This window comes from Homo sapiens, chromosome 6 (assembly GCF_000001405.40).
Source record: "Homo sapiens chromosome 6, GRCh38.p14 Primary Assembly".
Lineage (NCBI taxonomy): Eukaryota > Metazoa > Chordata > Mammalia > Primates > Hominidae > Homo > Homo sapiens.
Window position 1 is genome coordinate 84034626 of NC_000006.12, and position 22847 is coordinate 84057472.

General features: G+C 43.4%; 1 protein-coding gene across 8 annotated transcripts in view, besides 1 other annotated feature; it reads left to right on the forward strand.

The window, feature by feature from the left end:
- Nucleotides 1–22847, forward strand: part of MRAP2 (melanocortin 2 receptor accessory protein 2) — a 113105-nt gene that overhangs the window by 1448 nt on the left and 88810 nt on the right. For 7 of the 8 annotated variants that reach the window (XM_017010220.2, XM_017010221.3, XM_047418132.1 and 4 more), the window contains exon 2: nucleotides 20687–20820. In XM_017010220.2, the coding sequence (XP_016865709.1) occupies nucleotides 20694–20820 (127 nt within the window). In that variant the 5' untranslated portion in view covers nucleotides 20687–20693. Of the gene's footprint in view, nucleotides 1–15849; nucleotides 16094–20686; nucleotides 20821–22847 lie in introns of all 8 variants that reach the window. The other variant, NM_001346542.2, reaches the window with a different exon arrangement.
- Nucleotides 17149–19001: an enhancer, noted in NCBI's record as "VISTA enhancer hs2063". NCBI's record gives its function as "enhancer in: hindbrain (rhombencephalon)[3/7] | somite[6/7]" and the evidence as "EXISTENCE:transgenic organism evidence [ECO:0001131][PMID:17130149]".

The window sequence follows — 22847 nt, forward strand, 5'->3', positions numbered from 1 at the left end:
GATGGCACAGAATCTCAGCCACTACTCTGCATTTAGTTTGACAACAGTGAAACACTCTGGTGTTTTGAAGGCAAAGGAAGCTTGAGGGAATGTGTCCAGGGAGACGAGAGAAGGGAACTCTTATGCATAAATTAATTCTTACGAAAACCCCAAAAGTAAACAGTAGTATTTTCAGTTTGCAGGTAGAGAAAATTAGATTGCGATATTAAATACGTTTTCCAAGGTGACTGCCCCAGTTAAGTAATAGTGGGGAGTAGGGGTCTGGAAGCTAGGACTGTGAGTCTAGTTTCCTTTAGGTACATTGCATGGGGTACACAGACAAGAACAGGTGCAGGAGAGTGACGAGGGCCTGCAAGGATAAGGTCAGGAAAGCCAGAGGCCACTGTGAGCTGGGGTACCCACAAGGAGTTTCGTTCTTATGAGGAAGATCATCCAGTGTTTATGGAAGAATAGATAATATTAACAGGTGATAGGAAAAGGAAGAGTTGCTTCCAGTCTGTATCTTTCTTTTCAAAGTGAGGCCAGCCTAAACCCTTTAAAGAGGGTCTCGAAGCCCGAAACTGGACTGGATTGTTCAAAACCCAAATGGCAGACGTCCTAGAGTAGTGAAAGCGGTTACAGTCATCTTTGTGCAGGTATGAGAGATGAGAATGGACCCAGGAGACTTTTTAAAAGAGGGAAACATTGAATCCTGGCAACATTCTAGAACAAATTCTTTAAGATAGCTCAAAACTACCTAGGGAAGCATTTACAAATACTTACGCCAAACCAACTCCCTTCCCTTTTCTAGCAATCTACTGGGATATAGATCAGGGTATGCTGTATCCATTGTCTTCAAATGTGGGCTGTGACTCATTAGGCTAATGATCAGTTTAGTGAGTTGCAAATAGCAGTTTTTAAAACATGAAAGCCAAGAGAAAGAAAGATAAGATATCAGAGTGCATTGCAGGAGCAAGGGAAAGTACTGTTTTGTGAAGCGCGCGCTGGTGATGCATGTGTCCTGTTCTGTGTTGCTGATCCTGCTGCCTCTGCGTGAGTGTTCATACCCATCGCTAGCTGCCCCCTTTCAGCCTTCTGAGCTAGCCCCATTCTGGTCACAGTGGGGGTCATCTTCTTTTACCTTGCAGATTATGTCATCAACATATTCTGGAAAGCTGTTCGCTTCCTCCTCCCCATTTCTGTTGGCCCCCAGATGCTGAGGTATTTTGCCAATCAGAATTCATCTCTGAATTATTTATCTGTGACCTTTTTTGATAGTCACAGTTCATAGATAACTTTTATCAAACATATTAAATTAGTTCAAATTGTATAAAGAGAATATCACATCTGTCCTTTTTAGCTTTCAAGGGAAATGTTTTCATTACTTGGAGTACAAAAAATATTGGAAGAACAATATTCTTATGATGTTTGTGTAATATATTTAAGGAACTATTATTATACCAAGCTATGATATTTGGAAGATTACCAGATAATGCCTCATTGTGTCATTTTCTGTCTAGTCTTTTTTTTTTTTTAAATTTTTCTCATTTTGGCTTTTTTTCCTAAATGAAATATCAAGGTAGATATATGAGAACCTCTCCATAACTCTTGAACCCACTGGTTACTTCAAGAGTATGAGGGTTCATCATGCAAAGGAATATGAAGAAATGTTTTAATAAACAAAATGAAAAATAATATGAGGGTTGAGCAAGGAGGCCTTGTTGAATAGATTTACTTCCTTCATCCCAAAGCTAGTGATGGTGTATCTGAAATTGGTGGGTTCTTGGTCTCACTGACTTCAAGAATGAAGCCACGGACCCTTGCGGTGAGTGTTAACAGTTCTTAAAGATGGTGTGTTCTGAGTTTGCTCCTTCTGATGTTCGGACGTGTTTGGAGTTTCTTCCTTCTGGTGGGTTTGTGGTCTCGCTGGCTTCAGGAGTGAAGCTGCAGACCTTCACGGTGAGTGTTACAGCTCATAAAGGCAGTGCAGACCCAAAGAGTGAGCAGCAGCAAGATTTATTGCAAAGAGGGAAAGACCAAAGCTTCCACAGTGTGGAAGGGGACCTGAGCGCCTTACCACTGCTGGCTCCAGTAGCCTGCTTTTATTCCTTTATCTGACCCCACCCACATCCTGCTGATTGGTCTACTTTACAGAGAACTGATTGGTCTGTTTCACAGAGAGCTGATTGGTCCGTTTTGACAGGGTGCTGATTAGTGCATTTACAATCCCTGAGCTAGACACAGAGTGCTGATTGGTGTATTTACAATCCTCCAGCTAGACAAAAAAGTTCTCCAAGTCCCCACTAGATTAACTAGACACAGAGCACTGATTGGTGCATTTACAAACTTTGAGCTAGACACAGGGTGCTGATTGGTGCATTTACAAACCTTGAGCTAGACACAGAGGGCTGATTGGTGCATCCAAGAACCCCGAGCTAGACAAAGAGTGCTGATTGGTGTATTTACAATCCTCCAGCTAGACATAAAAGTTCTCTAAGTCCCCACTAGATTAGCTAGACACAGAGCACTGATTGTTGCGTTTACAAACCTTGAGCTAGACACAGAGTGTTGATTGGTGTGATTACAAACCTTGAGCTAGACACAGAGTGCTGACTGGTGTGTTTACAATCCTTTAGCTAGACATAAAAGTTCTCCAAGTCCCCACCAGATTAGCTAGATACAGAGTGCTGATTGGTGCATCCACGAACCCCGAGCTAGACACAGAGTGCTGATTGGTGCATATACAATCCTCCAACTAGACATAAAAGTTCTCCAAGTCCCCACCTGATTCAGGAGCCCAGCTGGCTTTGCCTAGTGGATCCCACGCCAGGGCCATGGGCGGAGCTGCCCACCAGTCCCATGCCACAAGCCTGCACTCCTCAGCCCTTGGGCGGTTGATGGGACCAGGCGCCATGGAGCAGGGGGCGGCGCCCGTTGGGGAGGCTCGGGCAGTGCGGGAGCCCACCACGGGGTGGGGGGCTGGGCTCTGGCATGGCGGGCTGCAGGTCCTGAGCTCTGCCCCACAGGGAGGCGGCTGAGGCCCGGTGAGAATTTGAGTGCGGCGCAGGCAGGCTGGCAGTGCTGGGGGACCTGGCGCCCCCTCTGCAGCTGCTGGCCTGGGTGCTAAGCCCCTCACTGCCCAGGGCTGGTGGGGCCCACTGAGTCTGCGCCCACCTAGAACTCACGCTGGCCAGCCCGGGTTCCTGCCCCTCTCTCTCCCTCCACACCTCCCCGCAAGCAGAGGGAGCCAGCTCCAGCCTCGGCCAGCCCAGAGAGGGGCTCCCACAGTGCAGCGGTGTGCTGAAGGACTCCTCAAGCATGGCCGGAGCAGACACTGCTGAGGAGGTGCTGAGAGTGAGCGAGGGCTGCTAGCATGTTGTCACCTCTCAGTGGGGCCATTTGAGGGTGAGTTGAGCTGTCCATGTGCTTCTTGCATTTGGGGCTCACACAGGGGCCTAGGTGGCTGGATCACTCACCTTCCCAGAGTTTGTTGGGCAAAGGATGTCTGAAGATGATCTGGGAGCCAGGTGGGGCCACATGGGAGGAAGGGCTGGCCTAAGGGCGAGGGCCCCTGGCAGCAGAAGTAGGAATGAGCAGCCAGCTGAAGGAAGGTGAGTATTACTAACACACCCATGTGAGGTATGAAGATAGTTAATTCAGTCCTTTCCTCCTGCTTTGGTCTTGGAGTGATGTGAAACTAGCTAGCAGTTGAGTGGATGGTGGAGAAATAGAAAAGAAGTTTACCTTCCCCCAACCCCAGCAGGAGACCAGCATGCAGCAGGACATTGCAGAAATAGGGCAGATTTGTGTTATAATGGGTCAGAGTTTCTTTTGTTTCCAAAGATTAGACATTTTAATTCTTTTAGGTTTTTATATTTCTTATTTATTTATTTATTCATTTGAGACAAAGTCTCACTCTGTCTGTTGCCCAGGCTGGAGTGCAGTGGCATGATCACAGCTCACTGCAGCCTCAACCTCTTGGGCTTAAGTGATCCTCCCATCTCAGTCTCTCAAGTAGCTGGGACTACAGGCACAGAACACCATGCCCAGCTAATTAAAAAAACTTTTTTTGTAGAGACGTGGTTTTGCTATGTTGCCCAGGCTGGTCTTGCATTCCTGGGCTCAAGTGATCCTCCTGCCTCCACATCCCAAAGTGCTAGGATTACAATTGTGAGCCACTGTGACTGGCCTCTTTTGGGACTTTGAAGTTGTTGCATGAGCAGAAACATCATGGGATCTACTCAAGTATTTGTTTGAGGGCAGGGAAGATGAATCCCTTGAGTGTATTTTGAGGCGCAATAGAAAACCAAAATACAGTTGACATTTGAGCAGGCCCCACAAGTTGTGCTAGCTCAGAGTAGGTAACATATGCTTGGGTTAAAATTAAGTAGAGTAGCAATCTGTGTTTATTGTTACATTTACTTTTGACAAAGGAAGACTTAGAGGCAGAAGCAGTTAGAAAAGGAAAGAAAATGTTTACTTCCCCAGAGTGCAAGGGAGTCAGGCTTTATAAGACTGGCTCATCAAATAAAATCACAATAAATACTTGAAAGAAAATATTCCACCAAATTACCAAAGTTCTCCATTTACATTAGTCTGTTGTTCATGACTAAAAACAACTTTCTTACACAATTATCTATTCCTAAAAGTCGTGACTTGTTTTCAGACATCAGCATAGCAAACAATCAAGGGAAAAAATTATTTCTTTAAGGGAATGAGATGTGTTTGAAGTTTTATTTTGGAGACCAACTTTCAGGCAGGATGATCATGTTATTTTTGCTTCATGTCAGGGTACAAAGTGATTTTTTTGCTTGACTGGAGTATGAGAAGTGCTTAGTCCTATTGGAGAGGTGGAAACTGTGCATTTTCCTTGCAATCATGATTCTGCAGTCCCTTATAGTATTGTTGAGATATGAAGTAAAAAAGCAGAAGTTGAGACTAGCTTTATGAGATGCTAAAATTATATATGTTAAAATCTGAGTTTAATTGTTGCTCGTGTTTCTGTTATCAAGACCTGTGTAATTTTTGCCTCACTAGAGAACGTTAGTAAAATTTCATAACCCTTCAAGTGAAAATAGTTTGTAAGCTTCAAATAATTCTCCTGCAAGGTGCATTTGTTTTCCTCTTGCATGTTCTTGGTAATAGCAAAAATAACAATCACTGGAAGGCAGAGCAGGCTGAGGGAGGGGCTTCTTAAGGATTAGTTTTGAAGTTGCCTGGTTTAACAAGAGAGAAAAATTAGGAGCTGAGTGAGAGAATGTGGTTGTAAACGTTTTCTGTCTTTCTACAAACCTTTGTATAGATTATTTCAGGAAATATAATTCTATCTTCTGTGGGGAAAAAAAGAAACGAGAGAGAAAGAAACAAATTTAAGATCAACTATCTAATATAAAACCTACACCATATTCCTACCAGTGTGATATGATTTGGCTGTGTCCCCGCCTAAATCTCATCTTGAACTGAATTCCCATAATCCCCATGTGTCGTGGGAGGGACCCACTGGGAGGTAATTGAATCAGGGGGTTGGTTGCCTTCATGAGTTTTCATGAGACTGATGGTTTCATAAGAGGCTTTCCCTCTCTTCACTCTGACTTCTCCTTGCTGCCGCTATGTAAAGAAGGATGTGTTTGCTTCCCCTTCTGCCATGATTGTAAGTTTCCTGAGGCCTCCCTAGCCCTGCGGAGCTGTGAGTCAATTAAACCTCTTTCCTTTGTAAATTACCCAGTCTCAGGTATGTCTTTATTGGCAGCATGAGAATGGACTAACACCATAAATTGGTACTGAGGTAGTGGGGAGTTACTATTAAAGATACCAGAAAATGTGGAAGCGACTTTGGAACTGGGTAATGGGCAGAGGTTGGAACAGTTTGGAAGGCTCAGAAGAAGACAGGAAAATGTGGGCAAGTTTGGAATTTCCTGGAGATGTAGAGGGCTCAGAAGAAGACAGGAAAATGTGGGAAAGTTTGGAACTTCCTAGAGACTTGCTGAATGGCTTTGACCAAATACTGATAGTGATATGGACAATGAAGTCCAGGCTGAGGTGGTCTCAGATAGAGATGAGGAATTTGTTGGTAACTGGAGCAAAGGTGACTCTTGCTATGGTTTAGTAAAGAGACTGGTGACATTTTACCCTGCCCTAGAGATCTGTGGATCATCAGAGAGATGATTTAGGGTGTCTGGTAGAAGAAATTCCTAAGCAGCAAAGTGTTCAAGAGGTGACAGAGCATAAAAGTTTTGGAAAATTTGCAACCTGACAATGTGGTAGAAAAGAAAAACTCATTTTCTGGGAGAAATTCAAGCCAGCTGCAGAAATTTGCATAAGTAACAAGGAGCTAAATGTTGATTGCCAAGACAAAGGGGAAAATGTCTCCAGGGCATGTCGGAGACCTTTGTAGCAGCTCCTCCCACCCATGGCCTGGAGGCCTAGGAAGAAAAAATGGTTTTGTGGGCTGGGTTCAGGCCCCCCCTGCTGCGTGCAGTCTAGAGACTTGGTGCCCTGCATCCTAGTCATTGCAGCCATGGCTAAAAGGGGCCAAGGCATACAAAGGGGCCAAGGTATAGCTCAGGCTGTAGTTTCAAAGGGTTTAAGCCCCAAGCCTTGGCAGCTTCCATTTGGTGTTGAGCCTATGGGTAAACAGAGGTCAAGAATTGAGGTTTGGGAACCTCCACCTAGATTACAGAGGATATATAGAAATGCCTGGATGTCCAGCCAGAAGTGTGCTGCAGGGACAGAGCCCTCATGGAGAACCTCTGTTAGGGCAACGCAGAAAGGGAATGTGGAGTCAGAGCCCTCACACACAGTCTTCAGTGGGGCACTGCCTAGTGGAGTTCTGAGAAGAGGGCCACTGTCCTCCAGTCGCCAGAATGGTGGATCCACTGATAGCTTGCCCCGTGCACCTGGAAAAGCCACAGACACTCAATGCCAGCTGTGAAGGCGCCAGGAGGGGGCTGTACCCTACAAAGCCACAGGGGTGAAGCTGCCCAAGGCTATGGGAGCCCACCTCTTGCATAAGCATGACCTGAATGTGAGATATAGAGCCAAAGGAGATTATTTCAGAGCTTTAAGATTTAATTACTGCTTTATTGGATTTCAGACTTGCATGGGGCCTGTAGCCCCTTTGTTTTGGCCAATTTCTCCCATTTGGAACAGTTGTATTTACCCAATGCCTGTACCCCCATTGTATCTAGGAAGTAACTAACTTGTTTTTTATTTTACAGACTGATAGGCAGGAGTTGCCTTGTCTCAGGTGAGACTTTGGACTTGGACTTTTGAGTTAATGCTGGAATGAGTTAAGACTTTGGGGAACTGTTGAGAAGGCATGATTGTGTTTTGAAATGTGAGGATATGAGATTTGGGAGGGGCCAAGAGTGTAATGATATGGTTAGGTTTTGTGTCCCCACCCGTCTCATCTTGAACTGTAGTGCTCATAATCCCCATGTGTTGTGGGAGGGACCTGGTGGGAGGTAATTGAATCATGGGGGCAGTTATCCCCATGCTGTTCTCCTGATAGTGAGTGAGTTCTCATGAGAGCTGATGGTTTTATAAGGGGCTTTCCCCCTTTTGCTCACACTTCTTGCTGCCGCCATGTGAAGAAGGATGTGTTTGCTTCCCTTTCCACCATGACTGTAAGTTTCCTGAGGCCTTCTTAGCCATATTGAACTGTGAATCAATTAAACCTCTTTTCTTTATAAATTACCCAGTCTCAGGTATGTCTTTATTAGCAGTATGAGAATGGACTAAAAACTTCCACTGAATTATCCCAATGGGAGAGGAGGGTTAATCCTTATTTCTAGGATTCTGAAGCAGAGGCCAAAGGTGGCAGGAGCAAACATTTATTTGGTTCTTACAGTTTACTCTGTAACATATCTGCACTTATTTAATATAAAACATAATCCTCCAGGTCTTGTATTATTGATGCTCCAGGAAGATGAACCAGGTATGCCCTGAGACTCTGGGGACTATTTGGGACCCTTAGACCTTGGCAAGCTGAGGGACACTATATTCTTGCCCTCACTTTATAAAGCCCCTCTTTTCTGGCCAGGCCCCTCCCTGAAAGATGAGGAGGCTATGGGGTGCCTTGAGCCTGCACTGCCCTTGCACCCCAAACTCTGGTTTGCTTGTAATTGATTGTCCTGAGGTTGCAGTGGGTGCAGTAGGTGGAGAAACCACAAGAGCCACACATCCTAGTTTAAGAGCCCAGGCCTCAGAAGATAAGATGGTCATTAGAACGTTCAGCTTTTCTACTGCTGTGTCTCAAGCTCTTAAATAAACCACTGCTTTAACTTACATTTCCATTTCTGTGGAACAGAGCTGGAAATACCTGGTACCTCTCCTTTTCACTTGTTTGCTAAAAGAATGGTTCAGCTCAGGACCATAATAAATAGTGTGTGATATGGTGTGTGCTGTTTGGAGACAGATACCACAAGCCAAAAATACAAAGTAGTCTTGTTTGGCAAGTCATCCTCACAGTGATTTAAGACACGGCCAGTCTCTCTTCTTAGTCTTATTCTGCCAACTCTTTCAATAACTCCACTAATTAGAACTTAAAGAGTGGTTGATTCCCTGGTATTCTTAAAATGGTCTAATTTGAAAGTTTAAAATCTTTAAAGTTTTAATTCACCTAGTCAGGCCGTTTTAGAATAGCAGCTATATAAAACAGTATGAGGACTCAGTGAGAGGCCAAGTCTAGTCTTTGGGGAGTCTGATGTATACTTTCTTGCTACTAAAATGAGAGATTCAGATAATCCACATAATGGGATTTAAGAGAAGAGAGAGATCCTCAATGTAGTGAAATAGTTGGAGAGATCTACTTGGAGGAGGTAGTATCTGATCCCTACCCTCAAGGGTAGACAGGAATCTGGAAAGGAGGGAGAGGAAGTCCAGCTTGCAGGTGGAACTGAATGGGCAAAAGCTCAGAGGACCATTTTGAGGGTTCCCCCGCTGCAGGTTCCTGTACCATCATGAGCCCTCCCTTTTTTAATGACCCTGTTGTTTCTACTGTCTATGTCTTCAGGCTTTTGTGTTGTCCCTCAAGCTGTGTGTGTATGGGGGGGTGAGGGGTGTGGGGTGAGTGGGTGGGTGGGTGTATTTGAAAGAATGAAGTTCATTGTGTGGCAGAGGATAGTTTGAAATACAAGCCTGAATTCTTTAAGAGCACAGTCCACAGTCCTTGAATTTTTGACCTCTACTAAATCTTTCATGGTTAAGTAACAGTGTTTAAAATATCCTTGTTGATCTGAATGGACTCATAATAATTTTACTGTGTTCAAAACTAGTGCTCTTTCTCTGTGAAGGGCATATTTATGAGAACTTAGTAGATGTGTTTGCTGAAGACGGCATGTAGTGGGATAGATTAATGACATTTTGTAAATGTTTTCTTTTCAAAAATGTATTTTTTTTTAGTTATAGTTAGAGTGATTGGTACAAAGTAAGTCATTTTTAATGGACTTCCTAGGACAGTTTAATTAGTTTACCAAAGAGAACATTGTTTTCTCCAAATTAGTTTCAGCACCTATATGAATTTCCTCGGGCTGCCATAACAAAATACCACAGACTGGGTAGCTTAACCTGCAGGAGTTTATTTTCTGTTTTCTTTTTTTGAGACAGAGTTTCGCTCTTGTTGCCCAGGCTGGAGTGCAATGGCATGATCTCAGCTCACCGCCACCTCCGCCTCCCAGGTTCAAGTGATTCTCCTGCCTAAGCCTCCCAAGTAGCTGGGATTAAAGGCATGCGCCACCACACCTGGCTAATTTTTGTATTTTTAGTAGAGACGAGGTTTCTCCATGTTGGTCAGGCTGGTCTTGAACTCCCGACCTCAGGTGATCCACCTGCTTTGGCCTCCCAAAGGAATTTATTTTCTCACAGTTCTGGGGACTGGAAGTCCAAGATCAAGGTGCTGGTCACATGTAGGTTTCCTCTGATGGCCATAAGGGAAGCTCTGCTCCAGGCCTCCCTCCTTGGCTTGTAGCCGCTGCCCTCTTGTTGCCTCTTCACACAGTTGTCCCTCTGTGCATGGGCTCCCCTGATGCCTTTCTCTCTGTGTCCTAATCTCCTCTTCTTATGAAGATATTCTTCAGAATGAATGAGGGCCTCATTTTAACTTAATTACCCCTTTAAAGGCCCTATGTCCAAATACAGTCACATTCTGAGATACTGGGTGCTAGGGCTTCAACATATGGATGTTGGGTGTGGGGACACAATTCAGTACATACGGCACCTTATTCACATTGTAGTACAGTCGGGGCTCCACACCCGTGGGTTCCACATCCATGGATTTAGCCAATTGTGGATGGAAAATATTTAAACAAGAAAAGGATAGTTGACTAGATTTGAACAAAAAAAGGATTCTGAACATGCACAGACTTTTTTTCCTTGTAATTTATTTCCTTAATAATACAGGATAGCAACTATTTACATAGCATTTATATTGTATTAGGTATTATAAGTAATCTAGAGATTATTTAAAGTATACCAGAGGCTGTGCATAGGTTCTATGCAAATACTACACCATTTTATACTAGGGACTTGAGAATCTCTGGATTTTGGTATCTGAGAGGTCCTGGAACCAAGCCCCCACAGATGCTAAGGAATGACTTTATATATATACACAATGAATGATGATAGTGACGCTGGACATGCTGGACATCGGGCAGCCAAGATGAACTTGAATAAGGTGTTGGTGGAGCTGTCAGGTACAGCTGATGAGGCTGCGAGGGCAGAGATCCAAATCTGCACTGAAACCCTTATGAAGGCCCTGGAGTAGGCAAGCCTGCCCCCAAGACCTCTGTGCTCTGGAGCCACCTCCACGAATGACCTGCCCCCAGCCGTCACCCTTCATTGAAAATGAAGAAGCCTGAAAAAAAAAAATATACACACAGGCTGGGCACAGTGGCTTACACCTGTGATTCTAGCACTTTGGGAGGCCAGGGTGGGTGAATCGCTTGAGGCCAGGAGTTTGAGACCAGCCTGGCCAACATGGTGAAACCCCGTCTCTCCTAAAAATACAAAAATTAGCTGGGCGTGGTAGTGCACGTCTGTAATCCCAGCTACTCAGGAGGCTGAAGCATGAGAATGGCTTGAACCCAGGAGGCAGAGGTTGCATTGAGCTGAGATCACGCCACTGCACTCCAGCCTGTGTGAGGAGCAAGACTGTCTCATAAAAAAAAAAGTATATACAGACACACACACACAATGTGTATGTTCACATGTGTGCTTTCACATGCATGTGAACACACATACACACCCATAATACAAATAGATAGAGACCACTGAGTTTGTAATACAAGTGAAAAGCAACTTGGTATTTCGTTAAGTTACAGAATCATAGATCTGGAAGGACTTTCACTACATCCCTTCTGGTTCTTTTCCTTTGTTTGTAAAGGGGGTGAGTATTTCAGCCATAATAGGTAGCTCTCATGTGAATGCAGTAGACAGAGGCAGTGTGATGTGAACCGCCATGGAAGTGTCTGCTTGCTGTGAAAATATTGATGTCAGACTGCTAGCCCTCCTGTCTTGCAGAGGACTGCCTTTATTGTGAAATTATATCTTCTCTACTTAGAGGGTGTTTAAGATAACTGTCTACAAAATGATAATTGTTAATAATAGTTGTTTTTTTAAAATTTTCTTTACTTTGCAAAATAAAAATGCTGGAAACTCTGTATTCCAGGTCCATGAAAACTGGCTGGTCTCTAGAAAACATTCCCCAGAGACTGGATGGAACCAGTTTAATGAAATTAGGGTGCTTCCTTTTTGTCGTTGGGAAGCTGCTAATTTTCAATGTAATCCATGAGAAGGACCTGAAAGCTTTGGAATGATAATTTGTAGTGCACTTCTCCTGAAATGAATTGGGCTAATGACAGGTACAACAGAAGGTAAAGCTTATAAAAAGGAGAATTTGGCTGGGTGCGGTGGCTCATGTCTGTAATCCCAGCACTTTGGGAGGCCAAGGCAGGCAGATCACCAGGTCAGGAGATGGAGATCATCCTGGCTAACATGGTGAAACCCCATCTCTGCTAAAAGTAGAAAAAGTTAGTTGGGCGTGGTGGCACGTGCCTGTTGTCTCAGCTACTCAGGAGGCTGAGGCAGAAGAATCACTTGAACCCAGGAGGTGGAGGTTGCAGTGAGCTGAGATCACGCCACTGCACTCCAGCCTGGGCAACAGAGCGAAACTCCATCTCAAAAAAAAAAAAAAAAAAAAAAAAAAGGAGAATTTGGGAAGTGGCTAGTGTGTTTCCAGGACTGGTCAGGGTGAGAGGACCATGAGCTGGCAAAGCACACATATTCTCCCACCTGTCTATGACTCTGTCAGGGGTTGAAAGGGATGATTCCTCACAGCTTAGAGGGAGTGTTCCTTTTACTTGAAAGGGAATCCCCACAGGGCTGCTGAAAAGAGCAAAGCTGGATCCTTGAAGGTGGACCAGGGAGGAAGGATCCACACAGGGAGGGGTGCTCAGATGTCTCAGCACCCTGTCATCCTCTGGGGTTCTCTTTTGCTTTAGAGAGTTCTCATTACCCTCCCCTCAAGTGCTGTGATTTGGAAGCACTGCTTATTATTATTATTTTTTAAATTATTTGTATTATTTAATTAATTAATTAATTACTTTTTGAGACAGGATTTTGCTCTGTCACCCAAGCTGGAGTGCAGTGGCATGATCTCAGCTCACTGCAGTCTCTGCCTCCCAGGTTCAAGCAATTCTTGTGCCTCAGCCTTTCAAGTAGCTAGGATTACAGGCATGCACCACCATGCCCAGCTAATTTTTGTATTTTTAGTAGAGACGGGGTTTTGCCAGGTTGACCAGGCTGGTCTCGAACTCCTGGACTCAAAGCAATCCACCTGCCTTGGCTTCCCAAAGTACTGGGATTACAGGCATGATCCACCAAGCCTAGCCTAAAAAAAAAAAAACTATAAACAATATTAGAACTTTTTTGTATTTTGGTTAAAAACGCATAATATAAAATGTACCATTTTTGAATGTACAGTTCAGTGGCATTAAATATATTTACATTGTTGTACAACCATTACAACTATCCATTTCCAGAACTTTTTCATTATCTCAAACTGAAACTCTTTTACTGGTAAATAACAATTTCCCATTTCCCTACCCTTAGCTCCTGATAACCACCATTCTATTAGGTTGGTGCAAAAGTAATCATGGTTTTTGCCGTTAAAAGTATTTGCAAAAACCACAATTATGTTTGCACCAACCCAATACTTGCTGTCTCTAGGAATCTGGCTATTCTAGGTACCCTCATATATGTAGAATCATGCAATATTTGTCCCTTTGTAACTGGCTTATTTCATTTAGCATAATGTTTTCAACGTTCATCAATGTTGTGGCATGTTTCAGAACTTCATTGCTTTTTAAGGCTTAATATTGCATTGTATATACAACATTTTATTTATCATTCATCTGTGATTAGACACTTGGGTTGTTTTGACCTTTTGGCTATTGTAAATAATACTGTTATGAACATAGGTGTGTATGAATATCTGTTCAAGTCTCTGCTTGTGGTTCTTTTGTATATATATCCAGAGTTAGAATTGCTATATCATATGGTTATTCCATGTTTAAATTTTTGAGAAACTGCTATACTGTCTTCCACAGCGGCTGTACCTTTTTACCTTCCTACCAGCAGTGCACAAGGGTTCCAGTTTCTCTATACCCTCACCAACACTTATTTTCTGATTTTTGATAATTGCCATCTTAATAGGGTGTGTAGTGGTATCTCATTATGAAGCATTTCTTTTTGATAGTTGATTCTTTGACTTGACACTAGTAATTTAAAGCATGCTTTTCCTAACAGTTTAGAAATAGAGCAAAAATAAAATAGTCATGGGAACCCAGAAAACCTAACTATAATAAAAGTGGCTGGCTTGGTATTCTACTGATGCCCTCAACTTGCCTAGAATTTTTTGAAGTACAGACCAAGAAAAGCAAGGTCTAGAAAAGGCGAGAGTTAAGCCTATGCCTTTCCTGTGATGGGGAACCCAACTCAACCATGATAGCATGTTGTGGTGGCAACCATTGACACTGGAATAAAGGATGGCAGTCTAACACGTTGACACACATGTAGTGGGATGGAGCATTAGGGTCCTGTTTTGTCGTATTATTATAACTCCCTTGTCCTGATTCTACATTCACCAGCTAATCTTCTGATCTTAAATTTTGTTTCCCAGACCACGTAAAACATGTGCTGTGGTCAGCTTGGCCATTGTTTTCCTAATTCAACAAATGGATATGCTCATTATAAATCATTCTGCTATGCTTGATTAGCATGACTGAGTCCATAAGGGCTTTCTCATCTCTGGAAAACTGAAAATTCAGCTCCCTGAATCTGTAGAGCCAGGGGCGGAGGTGCAGTCGCATCTCAGGGCCATGCCTCTTCTCTTCTCTGGAAATTTTCTCCAGATGGAGACTTTACAGCTTCTTTCCTGGTGTGTAACATGAAATTCTTGATGTCCAGCTGAAGTCTATTAGAATGGGACTAGTCTGTGGAGTACTACAGAGCCAGGAAACACTCACTTTAAAAATTACTTCTGGCTGGGTGCGGTGGCTCATGTCTGTAATCCCAGCACTTTGGGAGGCAGAGGCAGTCGGATCGCCTGAGGTCAGGAGTTTGAGACCAACCTTGCCAGTGTGGTGAAACCCCTTCTCTACTAAAAGCACAAAACTTAGCCAGGCATGGTGGTGCACACCTGTAATCTCAGCTACTAGGGAAGCTGAGGCAGGAGAATCGCTTGAACCCAGGAGGCGGAGGTTGCAGTGAGCCAAGATTACACCACTGCACTTCAGCCTGGGTGACAGAGGGAGACTCCATCTCAGAAAAAAAACACACAAAAAACAAACAAAACAACAACAACAACAACAAAAAACTTACTAGCCTGTTTACTACTATATAGGTGCCCAGGGCATAACAGGAAGATGTAGATTTATGAATCCAAACTGCTTGTCCCCTTTGAGACACCAGCTGGTGAAATAAGGGTGCCCACTTCTTAATTAAGCAATTCTTTATTTCAGGTGGTGACTGAATATCTATCAGTGTAAAATATTAAGTCCCATTTCTGTTTTTGGAAGTTGATCTTCTATTGGCATTGATTTTTATGTTAAGATGGAAGAAGTCTTCAGGCTTGGGAACACTTTTGGTTAGCTGTCTTGCTGCTGGAAACAAGTTGCTTATGTGCACAGGAGAAGGGGGGATAGGCAGGAAATAGATACATCCTGAATTCTCTTGTTAGCTGTCAGTCACCATTTTTTGAGGACTGCTGGGTAATTGAGTACTTTCTAGGATACACTAGAGAATGGCATAAAACTTGGCAGTGTAGAAAAATGTGGGAAGTATGTCCATTTGAAAACGAAGAGCCCAGCGTGCGTGCATTCATGTGTGTGTGTGTGTACGTGCGTGTAATGTCTCTAGACTGAATTGAGTGGCCAGAGCATCAGACTTCAAAAGTAAGAGTCATACTCGAGTCAAAATAGTCGTGAGGAGGAGAAGACTACAAAGTCCTGGAAGCATGACCTTTTTTCTTTAATTGGAGGAGAGAAAAATCCACGCCCCAGGAAAGACATCACTGACTTAAAATGGATTCACAGAAAAAGAATCAGCAGACCTGGGAATTAAGTGGGAAGTGCCAGTAGAAGGTGATGGTTCACGCAGACTCTATAAAAAGCAGAAGTAAACTTGAGAATAACACCATGTTACTGTTTTTTTAAAGTACTGCCCTGGGAGGACACTGTGGCAGCTTTGAGAGGGTCAAGCATGATCCCTTGCTGGGAGGCATTGCCTTATAGAGATGCTTTAAGAAGATCCAGCTGGCTCAGAGTGTGATTCATAACCTTGAAGTCTCTCATTTTCTGTGTGGCCCTACCCTAGGCACGAGTAAGCTGGGTGCACCATTGTTCTGTGCAAGGAGGAAATTAAGCTTCTAAAGTTGCGATTCTGAAGTTCCCACCTTGGGCTCATCAGCCACCAAAGTGCAGCGTGTCTGAGCTTTATCTTTGGTTTCTCAAGTCTCCTTGCTGGAGGAAAGACAGCGTTATGAGTCACAAGGGTGACTTCTCTATGTTGTGCGGGGGACAGTCATTCCTGGAAGTAAGAGGAAGAAGGATAAGAACAGGTAACTGAAAAGACCTTTCTGGCCTGGGCCAGATCAGAGGTTGGTGGTCCTGGGTGGCATGCCTACTTTTGGAGTTTGAGGATTGAAGAGGAAGGTGAGAGAGTCATTGCAATTGGGAACTTTGATCATCTGACTGGCCATTAGGTCTTCCCCTGTACAAACTGGTCAGCATAGGTCTTTGGATTTGTGGCACTGGCTGGCAGTTTCTTGGAATGCCTTAGTAGCTGTGCTGTCAGTTGTGTGCATGTTTGTGTGGGGGCATGCTCATTTTTCAGGGTTTCTGGCACCTTTTGGATTTCTTCTTAATGTGCTAGTCCTGTGCCTGGGTTGGTGGTCACTTGTAAAACTCATCTGCTGATGTTTACCCCTTAACATGGAAAAAAAGTGTCTAACTCCAAAGAAGCAGCCCCCTTAACATGCATACCATCGTAATCCACCAGGGATATTGACACAAAGACATTTATTCACTCTTTGAGAAGTTCTATGTCTGAGTACATCTCCTCAAATTCAGGGAGGTGGAGAGAATTGCTTGATCCATTTTTAAGAAGGTAGAGAGGACTGGGCACGGTGACTACACCTATAATCCCAGCACTTTAGAAGGCCCAGGCAGGCAGATCACCTGAGGTCAGGAGTTTGTAGACCAGCCTGGCCAGCATGGCAAAACCCTGTCTACACCAAAAATACAAAAATTAGCTGGATCTGGTGGCATGTGCCTGGAGTCCCAGTTTCTTGGGAGGCTGAGGCGGGAGAATCACTTGAACTCAGGAGGCAGAGGTGGCAGTGAGCAGAGATTGCACCACTGCACTCCAGCCTGGGTGACAGAGCAAGACTCGCCTCAAAATAAAAGAAGGAAAAGAGGCCAGGTGTGGTGGCTCATGCATGTAATCTCAGCACTTTGGGAGGCTGGGGCAGGAGGATCGTTTCAGCCAGGGAGGTCAATGCTGCAGTGAACTGTGATCATACCATCGCATTCCTACCTGGGCAATAGAGTAAGACCTTGTCTCAAAAAAAGGGGAGCGGGGAGGAAAAGAGAGTGCCCAGGAGTGGTGTGGGAACCTGGGTTGGAGCAGGAAAGATTGGATAGTCCAAAGAAGGGATGAAAGTGATGGGAATGTGGGTTGGAGAAGGGGTGATGGTTTAATGAGAGGTGTCTGGGCCTGCTCACCACGCTTTCTCTGTTTGGGTTTGTGATCTCCCGTCTTCCCCAACAATGGGCTGGCCTGGGCCACACTACCCTGTGCACACCTGGAAAAGGTAAGCTTCCTTTCAGGGCTAGCTTTCGGATGCAGTCCTAATCTTCATTTTTGCTTTTGTTGGCAGTGATGCTTTCAGCTGTTCAAAAGAGCAATTTAGTCTCTCCCTCATGCTCCTGGAAGCTTGTTTAGGATATGTTTCCTGTCAAAGAAGTTATTTTTCATGACTCTAATTTTATGAAGAAATCTGACATTAAGAAAATCTCGGTGCGGAGAGGGTGGTTCTCAGGAGTGGCAGCCATACAGAGAGCAGCTGCCCGTGGAGCTGCCGCTTCCTGCTGTTGTGTTCAAGAGAGAGCAGCTGCCGGCCTGTCAGCACCCCAGGGAGTGAGGCTCAGGGCCAGGCTGCCTCCCTCACTGCGTGGGTGGCCGAGATCATGCACACTGTGGCGGGAATAGCAGACTCTGGGGGCTGCTACTTGGACATGCTGGCAGTTCCCAGCTTATGTTTCAGCAAAGCTTGGAGAGTCATTGCTGGGCTTGGTAATGGGGACAACACAGAACACTTCCCTAGCACTGCCGTATGTTTGTTGTTGGTCTTTGTGCATCTGATGGCCTAAGCTGATTAATTTGAGGCTTGCATGAAAAAATAATGCCTTGTGGACTTTTTCAAGGGCACTAGGTGACTGCTTTAAAGAAGAGGTCAGAGGTTCTGTCCTCCAAAGCTATCTTTGGGATTCAAGAAGTGAGAGGAAAGAGGCAGTGGAGACAAATGCCCCTCCTTTTGTTTGAAGGCTACCCAGGCAACTGGTGGCTGCCTGGGGAGAGCTGGTGTCACATTTCATTCTGCAGAATGAGAACCTCCTGTAGGCTGGCTCTGGTATTCACTCATTCTTGTCTCTCAGTGTTTGTCAGAGCTTTGCTCCTCTCTTCCCACCTTCAGGACTTTTGCACATGTAGCTTTCATTACCCTTTGGTAATGCCCTTTAGTAATCCATCCCTAAATAGTTCGTTTAGATGAAAGGGAATAGTGTAAGGGGGAGTAAAAGAAGGCATGTCTCTATTGTAGGGTGGGTGGTTGATATTCCTTACAGTTAACTCTTACACACTGACCGGCCCCATGAGGGTGGTGTTACTGCTGCTTTCTGACTGGTCTTGTGGAACCTGGTAGCCACAAATGGGGGTCCCCACCGTGTGCTGACATTGAGAACTGCGTGGCCGTGGGAGAACAGCTCTCGGTTCTGTGGTGTGCTGAATAGACGACACCCTCCATCTTTATTTTCTTTATTCCTTTAAGTACTTTTCCCTATTTTTCTATTCCAGATGAAGTTTAGTCCCTCCCTCTGCTCTGCTATTATAGTAGCTGTAATGTTGATTTCTACTAAAAATGATATGATCAAACCAGACTTCATCTTATTTTCCTTAATAAAAAAAGGAGAGAAAGATTATCATTTTATTTTTGAGTTGGTAGAATAGCATGAATCCCAGGATGTAAATGTTGATCATTTTAACTTTTAAATGATCTAAATGCCTTTAAGTAATTTTTTGTCATAGTTTTATTTATTTGTCTAGGCACCGTGGCTCACAGTTGTAATCCCAACACTCTGGAGGCTGAGGCAGGTAGATTGCTTGAATCAATCAATTAACACTTGGTGCATTTGATAAGAATTGGCTGACCAGGGAGTTGGGTGTGTCTGAAGAACAAAGCGAGGCTTTTCTATTCAAGATCAGCATTTCTAATTAATAATAGTTGTGCTGCCTGCTAATATTTTTCTTAATTTTTCATGCAACATCACATTTAACTTTTATGGCAACTCCATGAAGTGGGTACTATAATCATCTTCATGTTACTAGTGGGAAAACTGAAGCTCAGATTTTTCAGGGCTCTAGAGCAGGGATTGGCAAACTTTTTCTATAAAATACCAGAAAGTAAATATTTTAGGCTTTTTGGGCCCATCCTTTGAACAGTATGATGATGTGGGGTTGGAGTCTTTTTTTGTGGAGTCCATGTCTGGGATGGGAAAGAAGGGGTAAGGGAAAGGGGAGAGTGATGCAGAAGTGGGGTGGAAGGGTGGTGGTGATTTTGCCTCAGCTTCCCTGAGGATTGTGCCCTGGAGGCAGTGGGGACGGATGCGGGCGAAAGAAACCTCAGAAAGCTCTTGAAGTGGGGCTGCTTCAAGAATCTTGAAGCTCAAGATGACTGGTGACTGCTCAGTGAATCTTTGTTACCGCTGACATTTCATTCAGATTTTCCCTTATGTTACTGCTATTTGTCACTTTGTCTTCCTTTCTCCATTATAAGGGAAGGTCTGTGGAGTACTGATCTGTCTCAGGCATCTCTGCCCACCCCACAGTGTGCGGTGTCTTGCACACAGTAGGTGCTCAAACACAGTTATTGAACACAGGCTGCATTGACTTATCACCTTCGGTATCCGTGCTGCGCAGTGCAACCATCTTCTCCCAAAGAAGTCAGGATTTTTTGGTCTAAAATAGTCACAGTTAACAAAGATACTTGGGAAATCCTGAAAATATCATAAATTTCAGGAGTAAGCAGTTGGACAAGTTGTGGACTTCTGTTGAGTATCTTCTGCAAGATCCACTATGCAACTTTTGCTGCCTGTTTTTCTTTATTCACTCCATTTTATTAAACTTAGTTTCCTCCAAACCCACTGGAAGCAAGAAAAGCAAACAAACAAAACCTTAGGTTGCTCATCTCCATTGTTGCATAGTAGGTGTTGAATGGATACCTACTGAGCTAGTTCATTTCTGATACTAATTTGATTACTTCTCCTGAACATTCTTTCTTCTTACAGAACTCTCTGTCCTCTACCTCCCAAATCCCACAAAACATCTCGCCTCCACACATAGGCTGATTGCTTGGGAATGGTACAGGAGGCCCTTGGTGATTCTAATTGATGAAAGACTAAAAAATTCCCTTATAGGGGAACATAAATCAATGTCAATCTGAGATTGAGTAATACATCAAATTAGTATCAGCAATGAACTAGTTTCAGCAGGCTCTTTACATACTCTTGCAGGTATAGGTGCTGAGGCTGAAGCTGTAAGCTCAGAGATTTTGACATACTCTTTCCCTCCTTTCCTTCTTTCCTTCATCAGTTACTGAACATTTGTTATGTGCCAGGCATTGGGTTAAGTTCAAAAAAATATACAGTGTCTGATTTCAAATACATTATTCCACTCTAGTGGCAAGAGAAAAGGAAGTAGTGGCCACATGATATGAGGTGTGAGCAGCTGGTAAGAACCTCTCCTGGCCTAGGAGGTAAGACCTCCTCAAGGGGTTTGCTGCCAAACTCCTGAATGCGATCAAGAGTAATTAAGGTAACTGTGCAGCTCTGGATGAATTAACAGGTTCTGCGCTTGACTTTCTCCATTTGTGCAGGTCGGAGATGTCCGCCCAGAGGTTAATTTCTAACAGAACCTCCCAGCAATCGGCATCTAATTCTGATTACACCTGGGAATATGAATATTATGAGATTGGACCAGTTTCCTTTGAAGGACTGAAGGCTCATAAATGTAAGTTTTATACAATTCCTCATTGAAAGCATAATTGTATTTCTCTTAACCTGTGAAATCCCCAAGGATTACTTCTCCTGAGCATTCTTTCTTCTTTACAGAACTCTCTGTCCTCTACCTCCCAAATTCTACAAAACATCTCGCCTCCACACATAGGCTGATTGCTCAGGAATGGTACAGGAGGGCCTTGGTGATTCTAATTGATGAAAGACTAAAAAATTCCCATAGTAGGAGAACATGAATCAATGTCAAGCTGAGATTGAGAATTTTTAAAAAGCATTTGCTTTTTTAGCTCCTCCAAACTGTGAATGTTTGAACTATCAAAAATATGTATAAAAATAGGATCTGGAACTGTTATTTGAAGAACCTTCTTTTGTAACACAGCAGCATCTTTTCATCCCAGTTGGTTTCCTGGAGCTGTGGAGAGCAGTGTATCCATGTGTGCTCATAATGATGGACCAGAATAGCCTGCGATCATTTCTAACACTGTGTTCTAGGCATGAATTGTGTTTCATGCTATTGGAGTAATTAAGGGTCCAGCACAGAGCAAGGAAATGTAATTCTGTGAGACGTTGCTACTCAACTCCAGTCATAACTGAATGCTGACTGGCCAGCATGGAACATCCTTGCTTCATTAGGTAGAGTTAACAGTTAACATGGTAGGCAGGAACTGCTGCCCAGTCTCAGATCCTGTCTTGGTAACCCCGTAAATATCCCTGAAATGTTCACTTTTGTCAGAGTGAATTATCCACAGCACTGTAAAATTTTTATGCTCTTAACTGGTCCAGGTTAGTGGGACACATTAGGAAATATAAGAGGGCTTAGAATCAGAGAAACAAATGTAGCAAAGAAAGTGTTTTTGTTCCTTTAATTATTTCCTGGCTGCTTCTATCCTGACCTGTCTTGGCATTCATGATCTCTTGCACCAACTTGGTGCTCTTTTGCAAGAAGGGCTTTCTATTTTTGTTCCTTTAGCAAAAATCATTAATTAAACCATATGTCCTTTACCCCTTAAGTGAGTAGTAATAATTAAATACTTTCATTCATTCCTTTATTGACATCTGCTCAGTATTTCTTTGTGGAAAAAAAGCACATGGCATTTATCAAGGTATGCTGTCATTGATTATCTGAGAGAAGGCTGTTGGGTGTGAAATCACCTTCTTTAATTTACTTAAATTCTTTAATATGTTGTTTTTCTAGGATAACCTTTATGTAAGGACAATTGCTTGTTCTGAATTATAGTGGATATCAAAATGACTGGGAAAATTGCCACATATTTTCTTGAAATGTGGGCTTTTACTGCTTGGTGACATCAACTTTACTTTTGTGTCAGCTTGCTCCTATCTCTTTTCCTTAGTTTAAGAAGCACAGAAGACAGGCCTGCTGCTGTAATTTTGGTTGGTACATTTCCAGAGACAATTGAATAAAATATTTTTTGAGGATATTACATTCTAGAAATAATTATAGCTGGAAAACTTCATGAGAAACATAGGCAGAGGTGTGACTCATTCCTTACTTACTTACTTTACCTACTATACCATTAATAACAATTGCTTTTGTTAATTTTAATATTCACGTCAAGATAAAACAAAAATGCCTGAGCACTTACTGTTCTGATATAAGAGAGCTGATAAGTAGCAGCCCTTAGCTTCAGGAACCTGAAAATATATGCGACACATTGAGAACAAAAAATAAACAAACACAAAACCCCAGATATACAGGAAAGTGAAAAGATCAAGTCAACTGTTGAAATGTGTGCTCTGGTACAGTCTCTTTCATTTAAAAATGCTGTGACTCTGACCTTCAAGTATGACTCCTTGTTTTGCTGGGCAAAATTCAAAGCTAATTAGATGCAGATTCAAAAGAACAGAAGCAGGACATTTCAAGGGGAAGCACTCATTGCGGACAGGAATGACCATAACAGTTATCTTTATTTGCCTTACCTGTAATGGATCACACTTGGCAACAATAGCTCCATCTTTAGACTGAGTTCCTCTGCTGAAATTAAGATTCCTACCTTCAAAGGG